The sequence below is a fragment of the Homo sapiens genome, chromosome 16 (genome assembly GCF_000001405.40).
Source record: "Homo sapiens chromosome 16, GRCh38.p14 Primary Assembly".
NCBI classification, from domain to species: domain Eukaryota; kingdom Metazoa; phylum Chordata; class Mammalia; order Primates; family Hominidae; genus Homo; species Homo sapiens.
In genome coordinates this window covers 32,739,615-32,755,667 of record NC_000016.10, presented here as the reverse complement: position 1 = coordinate 32,755,667, position 16,053 = coordinate 32,739,615, and the positions used below count along the sequence as shown (strand labels likewise).

General features: G+C 43.7%; 2 pseudogenes; one reads left to right on the top strand and one right to left on the bottom strand.

Annotated features, from left to right (window-relative positions):
• Positions 1-14,354, bottom strand: part of HERC2P5 (HERC2 pseudogene 5) — a 34,055-nt pseudogene extending 19,701 nt beyond the window's left edge.
• Positions 14,440-16,041, top strand: LOC112268180 (COX assembly mitochondrial protein 2 homolog; annotated as a pseudogene).
• Positions 16,042-16,053: the final 12 nt, after the last annotated feature.

The following is a 16,053-nucleotide window of genomic DNA, read 5'->3' as shown; positions in this document are numbered from 1 at the left end:
GAGCGCAGTGGTGCGATCTTGGCTCACTGCAACCTCTGTCTCCTGGGTTCAAGCAATTCTCCTACCTCAGCCTCCCGAGTAACCGGGATTACAAGCACCCGTCACCACGCCCAGCTAATTTTTGCATTTTTAGTAGACATGGGGTTTCACCACATTGGCCAGGCTGGTCTCGAACTCCTGACCTCAGGTGATCCACCCGCCTCAGCCTCCCAAAGTGCTGGGATTACAGGCATGAGCCACCGCCTGGCCATCTCCTACTTTTTTAAAGAGAGAGTCTTGCTCTGTCACCCCGGCTGGAGTGCCGTGGTATGATCATGACTCACTGCAACCTCAACCTCCCAGGCTTAAGCGATCCTCCTACCTCAGGCTCCTGAGTATCTGGGACTACAAGTACATGCCACCATGCCTGGCTAATTTTTGTGTTTTTTGTAGAGATGGGGTTTTGCCGTGTTGCCCAGGCTGGTCTCAAACTCTTGACCTCAAGCAATCCACATGCCTCAACCTCCCAAAGTGCTGGGATTACAGGCATGAACCACTGTGCCTGGCCCTCTCCCACTCTTAATGGCACTTACAGTTCAAAAAAAATAATCTGCTAATCAGCAAAAAGCAAAGATTTTCTTACTGGCACATTCAATCTCGACAGGAGACAGCGGTGTGCTCATTGCTAAATAGGAAGTGTGTAATCCGAGAAGCAGGCCCAGATTCCTCTCTGTGTCTATCAGAGGTGAAGAGAGACTTCCCGGATCTGGTATGGTGACAACTTCTTGGTCAGGCTGGAAAAATAAACTTCATCATCAATCTGAGGAAACAGAATTAATTAAAAACATAAAACCAAAAGGACAGCTCTGTCCTGCAGCTGTACCGCCATGTGAGCCCAGGGGTGCCCTGGGTGTTCTGCCCCTCCATCCTGTAATGAGTTGATGCTGCTGTGCCCAAGTAACAGCAGATACCACATAAACCCACATGCCCTATAAAGCTGGCAGCAACCGTACACGCAGAAAAACTAAAGCACAGATACATGATTTGGCTAGAATATTCCTTAGGAATCAGTTTCCAAAGTGACTGTACACCATGCTTCAGAAAGTATAATGAATTGTTACATGCATAAAGAACCCACTGGGCAACAAAACTATGACAAGTATTCGATGACAAGTATTAGTGGACTGTGACCACACAGGTAGAGGAAATGAAATTTATTCTAACAAAAATCAAACTCTGAAAAAAGCAAGAGTTCAACTTTTCCAGTCACAGAAGATATTTACAGCAAAGTTAATTCTCCCCTTCATAAAATGCTTTAAGCCCTGCCCTAATGGCATTTAATACATTTTATTACTTGTGGATAGCTGGAAAGCTAATCCCAGTATATAAATTCTATGTGTTCGTGAATACATAGGAAGGACATATTTCTATTGTAAAGAATTACACTTCTACATAGTTCTTCCCAAAAAATACATACCTCAATATAATAAGCCATTCCAAATTTCTACATAAGACCAAAGTTTAACCTCTTTTCTTGTGGAACACTGTCTATATTTCTCACAAATTGATCATTTAAAAAACAATCTTTCAAGACCAGTACATCACAGATCCTAACACGAATAAATGTAAATTCATTTATGACAAAACTTCTAAAGGATCTTTATATTATCCCTAATGCCCCCCAAAAGACCCAGATATCAGTACTTCTAGATCCAAATATTCCTATCACAAACACACAGAGGGTGTCCCCTGCCATCCTCTGCATCACTCAAGGCATACAGCCTCACCTCCAAATATTGGCCAACACAAAATGCGTGCATGGATTCCCGGGTGACTTCAAACTCGAAAGCAGCTTCCAAAGCTACCACTGGGTTTTCCCCTGCAAACTGAGCTGAAAGAAAAAGGGAAAAAGCAACAGGAGTTCAATTCAGCTTGCCTGAAGAGCTATAGGAGAAACAGTGAGTAGGAAATAAGTTAGGCGCTTAACTCAAAAGTGAGGGTTACCAGAGTATAATGACCTCCCACTGTCTCCCAGGGTTGCCTGGGCCAACTCAGAACTTGAAATGAGTTCCAAGTATTAAAACAAAAAATGCATAATGAAAGGAAATTCTTCAAATGTGCTGAATTTGTTGATAAGACAGACACCAAAGCCACAGATACATTAAAATATGCGGGGGCTGGCACAAAACTAAAGAAATCATTTATAAGCCAAATACTCTGCTTAAAATGATACAGGCTGTAACTTTTAACCAGGAAATAAGAAGGGTAATCTTACCAAGAATACTATTTCCTGTTAACGACTGTGTCTGGAAGTCCTTTATATCATACACTTTCTCATCAATCACAATCCAGAAGCCTCCATCTTTATTATGGTTCTCCAAATCAGCTTTGCATATAAGTGTCACTTCCTCATTATTTCTACAGTTCTGACCTGTAAAAAAATGACTCTCTGTATACAGAAACCAGAATCAGTCCATTGATCAATCAACAGGTAAAATGAAAAGAACAAACTGTGTGAAAGAACTACAAGCAGAAATAAACAAATCCACAATCACAATGGGAGAAATACATACCTAGCTCTGAAACTAATACCACACATACAAATTCTATTAAATATAGAATGCTTTAAAAAAAATCTAGGCAGCATGAATATCAAATCAGGCCATGCCAGGCCATAGAACAAATCTCAACAGATTTCAAAGAAATAAAGTTACACAGCATGTGTGCTGACTACAATGCAGTTAAATTAGAAATAGGTTTTCAAAAGTTCATTCAAAATAAAATAAAAATGACTCTGTATATACAGAAAATGAAAATATTCATCCACATATTTGAAAATTACAAAATACACTTATAAGTAACCCAAAATTCTAAGAAAAAATGACTATGAAAATTAGAAAATGAGTTCAATTAATAATCAAAATATTGCAGATCAAAATTGGTGACATACAACTAAATGCATGCTTGAGGGCATTTACGCCTTTAAATGTGTATATTAGGGGGAAAAAGCTAAAAAAGAAAAGAAACACCAAATCAATAGAAGTCTATTAGTTCATAAAAATACTCAAAAAAAAAGAAAACCTGAGTGGTGGTCACCTATGCAAGTGCTAGGATACCAACTCAATATTATGAAAAATAGTTAAAGGGAGGTGGCAGTTCAAGAAGTCAAGCTTAGATTATGTCCTTCCTGTACAAATTGTACCTCCTGCTAACCAGACAGCAGAGGGCAAGGTTGGTAGGGGATTTTATAGAGGACACGCAACACATGAATTCCCTGGTCTAGCTTCACAGAACTAAAGCGGGGAGCCACTGAGCATTACAGGCCTCCTGAGCCAACAGAAAGCATGCAGCATGACTCCAGACATAACACCACCCCAACGAGACTGAATTCAAATCCAACCAAACCTCTAGATCTAACCAGCAGATTAATGTAACTAACAGAAGAATATGTTGGTCTAGAATAAGAGAATGCAATCAACCAAGTTCAGAAAATGTGAAGTTCTCCAAAATAACCAACTTGCTTCTTTGAAAAAGAAAATGGTATGATCAGAGACAGGGAGAGGAGGGCCTGGAGCCATGTTGTTTGGGGAAAGAGACTAGAAGCATATGTCAACCAATGCCAATACACAGAACATATTCAGGTCCTAATTCAAAATTACCACCTAAAAAAGGCATTTTTGAGATAGTCCAGGAAAATGTAACATGGACTACATGTTAGATTAAGGAATCACTGTTAATCTTATAGACAGGATAATGATATTGTAGGGTTTTTCTTAAATCCTTATCATTAAGAGGTAAAATGCCTTAAAATGTTTTAAAGACAGAGTTATGCTTTAAAATAATCCAATTGGCCGGGCACAGTGGCTCATGCCTGTAATCCCAGCACTTTTGGAGGCCGAGGCAGGCAGATCACGAAGTCAGGAGATCGAGACCATCCTGGCTAACATGGTGAAACCCCATCTCCTACCACGCCGTATTACCGCATTTAACAGGTATGATGAAGCAACTGAACAGGCTATTTTTCCATTTCCATTGCATTTCAACAGAACCCATTAAAAAGTAGTATAAATGGCCCTTAAATACTAATATATTTTAAAATGCTCAAACTATATCAGGGTCACCATTTTGTGCTTTAGCAGGCAAAATCCCAAAAGCCCACACACAAGGCTGGGAGACCAGCATCCCTATTGGTGGTGAGAGAAATCAAGATGTACAGGAGCGATCTGGTGACAACCAGCCCACACTAGGTGCATCCCCACCTGTGCATGTGCACAGGCACACACGCGTGCACACATGGAGGACACATGTTCCAGGTCAGGCCTTGCAGCACTATTTGTGTTTTTTGTTATTGTTGTTGTTGTTTTTTGAGACAGTTTCACTCTTGTTGCCCAGGCTAAGGTGCAGTGGCGCAATCTCGGCTCACTGCAACATCTGCCTCCCAGGTTCAAGCGATTCTCCTGCCTCAGCCTCCCGAGTAGCTGGGATTACAGGCATGTGCCACCATGCCCCACTAACTTTTGTATTTTTTAGTAGAGACGGGGTTTCTCCAAGTTGGCCAGGCTGATCATCTCAAACTCCAAACCTCAGGTGATCCACCTACCCTGGCCTCCCAAAGTGCTGGGATTACAGGCATGAGCCACCACAACCGACCCTCAGCACTATTTGTGTAGCAACACTGTGGCAATAAGCCCAAGTGTCCACCAATAAGAGACTCACTGAAGAATGATACATAAAAGACATATCTACACACTGAAGACTAAGCTGCTTTATAAAAACAAAGAGCGACACTCTGATAAAGTACTCCAGTATATATGGCTAGTAAAAAAAAAAACAAGCAACACAAGTAATGCAACATGCTACCACTAGCATACTCATTCCAGAGAACAAGGAGGTTACAGAGGAGACTGAAAAGCCAGAGAGAGCAGGTAGGAAAATGGGTGGAAGGGGTGGGCAGGGGAAGTGACAGTGTGTCTCTGCCTAGGTTTGATTTTTGAACCATGTGACTGTATTCCTCTTTTTTTTTTAACGACTGTAAAACAAAATAAACACTCTTCATACTAGAAATAAAATGTTAGAAAAATCTGGATTCAAAACTAGGATTACTGTTATACACTGGCAAAGTTCACTAACATTCCCAAAGGCAGTTTTCTCATTGACATAATGAGATACAACAGCGTGTATGAGGTCCTCAGTGGGCCTGCACCCTACAGGTGCTCCACACATGCAAATCACTACTATTACCATTACTATTACATAACAGATATAATATATAATTATACTGTCACTACTATAACCAGCATTACATACTAAGACAGCCCACGTTCAGAGTATAAAGAAGGCTGTGGAACCCTCTGTAGAAGGTGGGAGGGCCTGGGGCTGTGGGTAAAGGGGAGCTCTCTGGGGCTGTGCCACCTGAACCTGGAACCTGGGCCCCCAGGTTGGGTCCCCAGGCCTGTGCGCCTCAGCTTGCTCATCATTCACTCTCAACACGGATAACACCTTCAACTGCAAACACGTTTAAAAACCACAGGCCAGCTCCCCCTACCAATACCAGAAAAAGCAAGTCTCCACACGGGCCCAGGATGAGAACCTACAAGTGGTACTAGCTACAAAACCCATGGAGAACACGGTTCTTGCACACACACCTTATGAGACGTCGGACAGCTACACGGCAGAGGCATCTACAGGGTGTAGCCAGATCTTCTAAATGGGCCATGACAACAACCGCCGTTTGTTGCAGATCAATGGCAAGCTCGTTGTCTTGTGGAGGGTGAGGTACCTCAGGAAACTCACTGGGGCTCAGAGGGCCAGACAAAAGCTAGAAAGGAAAGGTAAACAAACATTCAGAAATGGTGGGAAAAATTAAAGTAATACAGTTAGCCTTTACCCACTCTTTATATTTTGGTATTGACTCATTTGACCCATCAAATGACAATGTCGATGATACAGTTATACTATACATCTATATATTTATGTAGCATACAAACTGACTGTATAAATGTCTAAATGTGCTGTACACATGTACACAACATTGACTGTGCATGTATACATTTATGACACCACAGGTAAGTTGAATCCACACAGATTACTAACATGACCAAACCACCCTACAGGCCTAGGACCCCTGGAGAAAGGCAGAACCACCTCTGTGGGAACCCAGAACAGCATCTCAAGCTGGCCTTGAAATCTAAAACCAAAACCTTTATTTTAATCTAAACATTGCCCACTCTGGAGAACACCTACTTTCATTTGCAAATTAAATCATAGTTCTAATTCTTCTAAAGGCAGAAGAGCCCTATTATCATTAGTTTAAAGACTAACAAATAATAGAAAAATTAAACCAAAGCATGATATTGAAATGCCTAAGACTTTCCCAAAAAGATGCAAAATTCAACTTGTACTTGACCTGTAAAGACCAGCACTCCTGGAGGTTTACACCCAGGGCCCCACATGCCTGCTCCTCCCCCAGCTCGGCGTCCACACCTGTTAAGGGGGGAGCTGGTACTAAACAGAGTGACAGCTCAGATGACATGCCCTGCACAGAGCCCAGTACATAGGAAGGGCCAACAAAGAAAGCCACTATTTTCGTTGTTCTTTTCTAGTATTGATTTAAAAGTGCGTGTTTCAAGCTTGGTTCTGTGCTGACAAGGAAGTCGGTGCTCACTGATCCAAGTCTTCTCCACAAACAAGTGGCCTCCCACACCTGTCTCATCTGACTCGCTGCTGTTACCACCAAATACACACACGCCAGAGAAAAACACTGCCGTGGACACACACACTGGTCTTGCGTAAAAAATAACTAGACTTGAGTACCACCTAAACACAACGTTCCATCATGACACTCACGTGCATGTTGCCCTCGGAGGGGGGCGTATCCTTACCACAAATGATGCTCTGGAACGTTTGCAGCAAGGGCAAAAGCAAGGTGCTGGTGCCCTGGGCAGAACGCTCATTGTCAGTTTCCTGTGCCCTGCTGTCCCACAGCTGAAGCAACAACAGGATGGCAGACAACATTTGGCTAAAGGAGAAAACACATTTATTCCTAGTAAAAACAGATTAACTTTTTTTTTCATGGTTGATCAAAAATAAAAGCAAACAGCTAGATAGAAGTGAAGCAATACTTGGGATATGAAAGGAAATGAAAGTAAAGCCGTGGTAATTAAATCACTGAATTGACACTAAGATTTTAGCACAAGTCATCGCCTTCTGCTGATAGGAAAGACCAGTTAAGAAGCTCAAAGAGCACATTCACATGGAAGTTCTAGGATCTTAAATTCATGGAATAAAAATAATTAAATGAGGAAAACTGAAAGAAAAAAAAAAAAAAGAACAGTTCCCAGGCTAGAAAACTGAGCATAAAAAAGGAAGTGAAGAAAAGGTAAAGAGAGAGCGAGCTCTGGGACATGGTGCTCTCTGCTGCAGTCAAACACGATTCAGTGAAATGCACACAATGCAACAGGTATTTGGATACAGAGGCGCTTCCCCAAAGCGTTCCCATTCTGCACAAGCCCTCACCTCAGCGTGCCTCTCTGCACAGCCAGCTCCAGCAGGATGGCCAGAGCCAAGTGCTGGTCCTGCAGGGGCATGCTTCTGGCCTTTTGGTGCCTGGCGTTCTGTGAACATCCCTGAAATGAAAACAGTGGATGCAGGAACACAGCGACCTCCAGAAAGACAGTATGCTTACAATCACACTAACATGTTTACTACATGCTCCCTCCCAAGGAAGGATATATTCTTAATATTTAGAACCAAGTTTCTGAGACTTGCTACTCAAATTTTTCAGAGATTTTTAAAGTATACAATTAACTTACAGAAATGTATTTTATTTAAAGTATTCATTCAGATACCGTATTACAGTAGATGACATACTCCAAGTGTGTGAAGCATAAAATATCTCATTATCCAAAACATGAGTAGAAGAATATCTAGCTACCTTTTCCAGTTTCAATGACGTGTAAGCCTATACCAGTATCAACCTTCTCCTACAGAATTAGAGAACCAATTTCTAAAACCACCTGAGGATCTGGAGGCAAAATGTCTATACTAATTTCTATCTCTGATCAAAGATTACCTGGTTGCTTACTCCCATACCCAGCTCTCCAGAATTGACTTGGCCCTATATACAGGTGCAGGAGTTTCATCTTTTTTCTCTTTGTCATCCAGATCTTCTTTCTTTGTTCCACTTGGTTTGACACTATCATCTGCAGAATTAAAATTTTTTTAATCTGTAACCGCTTTTCAGAATGCCATACCATTAGTCAGTCTCTGCAAATGTCCCTCCCTGAAAAGTTACAACACACATCATTAACTGAATGTTTGACAACTCAAAAATAAAATATATCAATCATACCTGTAACAGATCCAGTATAATTTTCATAAACAAACCAATATATCGGCCGGGAGTGGTGGCTTATGCCTGTAATCCCAGCACTCTAAGAGGCCAAGGCCGGTGGATCACGAGGTCAGAAGATGGAGACCATCTTGGCTGACACAGTGAAACCCCGTCTCTACTGAAAATACAAAAAATTGGCCAGGTATGATGGTGGACACCTATAGTTCCAGGTACTCGGGACGCTGAGGCAGGACAATGGCGTGAACCCGGGAGGCGGAGCTTGCGGTAAGCCGAGATGGCACCACTGCACTCTAGCCTGGGCAACAGAGCAAGACTCCATCTGAAAAAAAAAAAGAAAAGAAAAGAAAAGAAAAGAAACCAATATATCAAATTATTTAAAGCATGTCTTCCAAAATGATATTTCATTAACTTCCTAGTAGATTTCACAACTGAGAAACTTAGTATTTGATATTTACCTACTTCAATTTCACACGAATTGCTTCCATCCATTGAGTCCCAATGCTTGCGTACCCATGGGAAAAGGGAGGGTGTAGAAAAGGAGTATGATTCAAAAATCTTTTAACCCTTTCCAAGGCCCTACTCCACTGCCAACTGGCAAGCACTGCTATGCAGGGGCGCTGTCACTGATAGCATAATTCAAGAGCACTGGGACACAAAGGAAAAGCTGGGAAAAATGACTTTAGGCCACTGACAATGTAACGTTTCAGTCAAAAACAACTGTCATAAAACTCCTGACATAGTAAGCGAAGAGAAGAGAGAACTAACCTTAACCTTGAAGTGTAAACACGGTCCATCACAGAAGGCTGTGACTAAACGTCTAAACAACATAATTAGAAAAATGTACCTCAATCGGTGAAGGACATGATATCCCATCCAGATTATAAATAATGAGTATCTAAAAATCCCTAAGGAAACAGTTCCTCTGTTTACAACACTTCTGACGCCAAATGTATGGACTTTTGCACCAAGCAATTCTCCAGTTCTTTGCGACACCCAGCTATGTGTCCCACAATGCAATTCAATTCTGAAACTAACTACCTAGAATTAGCACAGACCCCACAGGTTAATAACAGGAGAGAAAAGGTACAATGCTGGAAAAAAAATCTAAAGAACTAATAGCTGAAAACTTCCTAGGTTCAGCAAATGACAGAAACCTAGGCAGATTGAAGAATCTGTGCAAAGCCCAAACAAGATAAATCCAAAGGAAGCCATGATGAGGCACATCATAATCAACTGCTAAACACTAAGGACAAAACCTTTTGAAAAGTGCCACAGAAAGTAGATACAGAGGAATGTCTTGTGTGGCCTGAAATTAAGACTAAATATTATGTGCTGCCTTGACGTCAGTAAAATCAAGAAGGCCTCAAATAGCCTAACCACAAGGTCTCCTCCAAGCTCTGCTCCCACGGATAAGATCCCAGAGCCAAACAACCCTCCTTATCGCGGAGACCCGACCCCAGCCTGCTCATCCCTGCTGGTCCAGAGTTATTCCAACAAGCCAATCACATCTTCCCACGGAAGCAAGGTCATTTCACCCTCTTCTTACTACAAAATGTGCCTCCCACAGCCCCTCGTGGTTCACTCTGTTCCCAAGTGCAGCCCCCGTGTGACATGCGGTGTCCCCCACCCCCAGGGCTGTGAGCATGCGTGACTAATAAACTGCTATTTCATCTGTCCAGTGTTGGTGTCTTATGTTCAGCCATCCCATATCCCTAAGGCAGGAATCTTTTAGGATTATAAACAGAACTTTAATCAACCTCTCCTTGGTTATTTTACTGGTTCCATGATACAGCTTTTTCTGTGCAAAAGATCTGAACAGAAACTTCACAAAGGATACAAGAGTGGCAAAGAAGAACATGATATTCAGCATTGTTAGCCATTATGGAAATGCAAATTTAAACCACAATGAGATCCCACTAGACGTGTTAGAATGGCTCAACTAAAAAACACTGATAACACCAAGTGCTAACAAAGACACAGAGCAACAGAAACGTGACAGATTACCAGCAGGAATGCAAACTAAAACAGCCACTTCGGAAAACAGTTCAGCACATGACCCAATTTTCACACTACTAGGTCTTTATCCTAGGGAAATGGAAACTATATTCACACAAAATCTGTACAGAAATGCTCACAGCAGGATTACAATTGTGAAAGAAAAACGGAAACAACCACAAGGTCCTACAATAGCAGAATGGATAAACACAATGTGGTACATCCAAATGATGAAACACCATTCATCAATAAAAAGAACTATTAATACACAGAACAACAATATATCTCAAACATATAACTAGGAGTAAATGAAGATGGTTTCAAAACGTTACTTAAAATATGGTTCCACTCACATGACATTCTCAAAAAGAATACCCTATACTGATGGAGAACAGATCAGTGGTTGCCAGGGTATGAGGCCAGGGGATATGTGATAAAAAGCAGCACCTTAAGGGAGCTTTTGGGGTGATGAAACTTCTCCATCCTGATGATGGCGGGGGTTAAATGAATCTATAGGGTCAAAATTTACTGAACTAGATACCACAATAAAATAAATTTCATGTAAGTTTTTTAATAAAAAAAAAGTTGGCTGGGTGCGGTGGCTCACACCTATAATCCCAGCATTTTGGGAGGCCGAGGCGAGCAGATCACAAGGTCAGGATTTCGAGACCAGCCTGGCCAACATGGTGAAACACCGTCTCTACTAAAAATGCAAAAATTAGCCAGGTGTGGTGGCATGCACCTGTAATCCCAGCTACTTGGGAGCCTGAGGCAGGAGAATTGCTTAAACCTGGAAGGCGGAGGTTGCAGTGAGCCAAGATCGCCACTGCACTCCAGCCTGGACCGCCAAGTAAAACGTCATCTCAAAAACAAAAAACAAACAAACAAACAAAAAAACAAAGAAAATATCTAGGTCCAGGTAGGACAGTTGGAATACAGTCCAGTGGAATCATGTCAGAGCAGGGAGCTGGGTCTGGAAGGCTGGAGCAGGGCGTGGCCCCACTCTAGGAAGGAACTAGGAAACGCATCCTGGGTGAAGCAAGAGCAGAGTCCCGTTCTGCAACAGATGAGCCTTTATCCTGATCTGAGAAACTATATGCAAATTTAATACATCTCACTTAGCCTCTTATTTTCCTTAACAACATGGAAAATGAGAGAACAAACAATTCAGAAGGTTAAGACATGAAATACATTTCATTCAGAAATCATACACAGAAAGGTAGGAAATAAATGGGGGAAAATAGCAGCTAATGAAAAGTGAAAATGGGCCAGGGCAGTGGCTCACACCTACAATCCCAGCACGCTGGGAGGCTGAGGCGGGCGGATCACTTGAGGTCAGGAGTTTCAGACAAGCTTGGCCAACATGGTGAAACTCCAACTCTACTAAAAATACAAAAATTGGCCCAGCATGGTGGCAGCCACCTGTAATCCCAGCAGCTTGAGAGGCTGAGGCAGGAGAATTGCTTGAACCCAGGAGGCAAAGGTTGCAGTGAGCCAAGATAATGCCACAGTACTCCAGCCTGGGCAACAGAGCAAGACCCTGTCTCAGAAAATAAAATAAAATATTCATAGTCTTAATAATGGAAAATAAAAACATTTACTGAATGCCAAAAAATCTCCCTAAAAACCCCAATCAGTTGGGATCTACATAAAGAACAATTATGCTCTGCTTTCTAACCACAATTTTTAAAAGAACAAAGGACAAAAATATCCATCAAACGTGGGCCGGGTGCGGAGGCTCACGCCTATAATCCTAACACTTTGGGAGGCCGTGGCAGGTGGATCATGAGGTCAGGAGTTCAAGACCAGCCTGGCCAATATGGCGAAACTCCGTCTCTACTAAAAATACAAAAATTAGCTGGGCGTGGTGGAGGGTGCATGTAATCCTAGCTACTCAGGAGGCTAAGGCAGAGAACTGCTTGAACCCGGGAGGCGGAGGTTGCAGTGAGCCAAGATCATGCCACTGCACTCCAGCCTGAGCAACACAGCAAGGCTCCCTCTTGAGAGGAAAAAGAAGCAAACAACAAATTCATCAAATGTAATAAATAAAACATATACTTTGGATTTTTCCATGTGCTTAGCTTTTCTTAGAGCATCTTTTAGAATTATTGTTTCACAAAAAAACACTTTGGGAAATGTTTTAATTTATTAACAAATACTAGGGCTAGGAAGAGAGCTTAAAACTTTTTAAAATATACAGAATGAATTACAGATACGTGAAAGAAAAAAAAAAAAAAAGATTGCTGACTCCTGTCATGGAAGGCCCTATCATATGGACATTCTTAGCCTCAGCATCCGGAGGTCCAGAAAGGGACAATTTCGAGTCAGAGAGAATTCTATATATACCATTTATTTGGAACCTTCAGCCCTTAAGATTCCAACATCATGACCTCAGTTTCAACACAATTGTCCTTAGACCTTGTATTGCATACAAATACAAAACAAACACCTCGACTGAACTAACTCTTGTCTCTCCAAAAACACAAACACAAGACCTCATAAAATGAGTGCGTTTCTATTGGCCATAATTACTGCAACTTACTTCTCCAACTTTCCCCTGCACAGTTAACTAAACAGCTCAAAAACTATCAGTAACAAATAACAGTCACCATCATATGGTTAGGAGTGTGGCAGATTTCTTAACCAGTAATAAAAAAATAGGAAAAAAATTTTGCCTATTCATAGATCTCAAGTTTCGTGCACTTGCAAGAAACTAATTAAAAGGCAGCCGTGCACGATCTACAAAAACAGCCATAAAGACTGTTACATTTTAAGTTACAGGAAACAAACCTGCTCCTCTACTATAGCAAGAAACAACTGACTTCCCCTTACATACCCTAAAAAAAAAAAGACTTACACGAGAAATTTAAACATGGAAGCAGAAATACACCAAGAAAGAGACATGTCAAACCCCACCTGTATATCTGTTTTCAACCATTTGGAGTCAAGGCGAGCCTGGGCAGCCAAACACAAATATTCAGAGGGCATCTTTTCTCCAGCTTCCTCCCAGTTCTCAGGCCTGCAAGTAAACATACATGTTGAAGACCTAACGCTTTTTAATATTTTACAAAGACACTCCCGAAAAGTTTAATGCAGAAAAAAAAGAACAGAAAGATGGGAGAGAAGAGCTCGGGGAAGGGAATGAAGAGGAAAGAGAGATAGAGGGAAGAGATGGAGGGAGAGGGAGGTGGGGAAGGGAAAGCCTCCTTCCTAGATAGGCAAGGTATGCCGGGTTTCTGCACCACGCTGGCGAGACCTTGAGAATGGACTGTCACAGGAGGCCAAATCACAATGTCATACCCCTGCCCTCAAATCCAAAAGGTACACACACACATGACAGGAAGCCCATCATTTTTTGTTTTGTTTTGTTTGAGATGGAGTCTCCCTCTGTCGCCCAGGCTGGAGTGCAGTGGCGGGATCTCAGTTCACTGCAAGCTCCGCCTCCCGGGTTCATGCCATTCTCCTGCCTCAGCCTCCCGAGTAGCCTGGAGTACCAGCGCCCGCCACCAGCCCGACTAATTTTTTTTTTTGTATTTTCAGTAGAGACGGGGTTTCACCATGTTAGCCAGGATGATCTCGATCTCCTGACTTCATGATCCTCCCGCCTCGGCCTCCCAAAGTGCTGGGATTACAGGCTTGAGCCACCGCGCCCTGCCAGGAAGCCCATCGTTTGAACGACAAATGACAGCAGCGTGAATCTGCCGCTTTACCCAACAGCAGGGCGCCTGCATGAAACAAATTACTCAAAAGGCTCACCTGCAGAAAAACCCACAGCCACCACCACTTAGAGATAGAGAGAGGCAGGGGGCTGCGCCGCGGGCGGTCCGCGCAGCAACCCCCCCCCCGCCCCCCCACCCCTTGTGCCTCCCGCCAACCCCGCACCGCCTCCGACGCCGGACGCCCCGGTGCCCCAGGCCAGGACCTGAGGCGCAGGGCCCGGCCTCCTCGCCCCGCAGGCGTGCGCACACAGCCTCCCAGCAGCCGCTGGCTCAGCCGGCGCCCGCGATCCCGACGCCTCTCGCTACCCGAGGGGCGTGCCCGCGCGGGACTGCCGCCCCCTCCACCGACCCGCGCTTACCGCCAATCGCAAGGCGGCTCTGCGGGCGCAGCCAATGGGGAAGAGGAGCCCTTCCCTGCTCCTCCTGACTCTCCCGCTTCCCGCAATCCCGTTTATCTTCCTACTTGGAGCTCACCCACTGCAGCCAGGGCCAACCGCCGGCGCCGGAAGGCGGGATTTCCGCGGCACGCACGCACGCCCGCACTCCCACGGGAGTCAGTTTCTCACCAGCTGAATTATTTGAATTTAGCACCACTAAAAGTGGAGCAATCAGGTACGGAGTGCCTCCAGAGCTGATGTAGCAGAAATCACTGACACCATCTTTTTTTTTTTTTTTTTTTTTGAGACAGTCTCATTGCGTCGCGGAGGCTGGACTGCAGTGGCATGATATCAGCTCACTGCAACCTCCACCTCCCGGGTTTAGGTGCCTCAGCTTTCCGAGTAGCTGGGATTACAGGCATCTGCCACCCACCCGGCTAATTTTTGTATTTTCAGTAGGAACGGAGTTTCATCACAAACTGCTGACCTCTGGTGATCCGCCCGCCTCAGCCTACCAAAGTTCTGGGATTACAGGTGTGAGCCGCCGTGCCCGGCCTATTTCAGATATTTTAAATATTAAAAAGTAGAACCTGGCCAGGTGTGGCTCACACCTGTAGTCCCAGCACTTTGGGAGGCTGAAGTGGGAGGATCGTTTGAGCCTAGGAGTTCAAGACCAGCCTGGACAACATAACAATACCCTGTCTGTTCAAAAAATAAAATTAGCCAGGTGAGGTGGCACGTGCCTGTGGTCCCAGCTACTCGGGAAGCTGAGGCAGGAGAATTGCTTGAACCCACGAGGTGGAGGTTGCAGTGAACCAAGATCGTGCTACTGCACTCCAGCCTGGGAGACAGAGCCAGACTCCGTCTCAAAATAATAATAATAATAATAAGCTTGGGCGGTGGAGGGCTCCCCCAGGCATTGGCCACCTGTGGAGTGACCTGGCTTTTGGCTCCCTGGCAGCCAACTTCTGGGTCGGGCATCTTCGTTGGTGACTGCCCCTTCAGCTCTCCTGGTGTGGCTGTGAGTGGTATGGCACTGCTGTGACCCATCATCTTGTCTTAAAGAGGCATCCTGACATCTCCACACTTGCACACTGAAGAACGCAACATCATGATTAACTTTTTAAAGGAATATTACAAAAATCACAGCATCCGAAAATTTTTTGGTCATTGCAATGATCTTGATCAGGCAATGAGAAAATAAATCCTTGAAGAATGAGTACATGGAAAAGAGGACCAAGAGCAGAGACTATGGCAATTTGATGCAAGAGACTTTTTTTTTTTTTTTTTTGAGACGGAGTCTTGCTCTGTCACCAGAGCAAGTGCAGTGGCTCAATCTTGGCTTATTGCAACCTCCGCCTCCTGGGTTCAAGCAATTCTTCTGCCTCAGCCTCCCACATAGCTGGGACTACAGGTGTGTGCCACCATACCCAGCTAATTTTTGTATTTTTAGTAGAGACAGGATTTCACCGTGTTGGCTATGGCCAGGATGGTCTCGATCTCCTGACCTTGTGATCTGCCCACCTCAGCCTCCCAAAGTGCTGAGATTACAGGTGTGAGCCACCGTGTCCAGCCGCAAAAGAGACTTTTTAATTCTCCAGAGGAATCTGAAAAATAAATTGTATTTTCA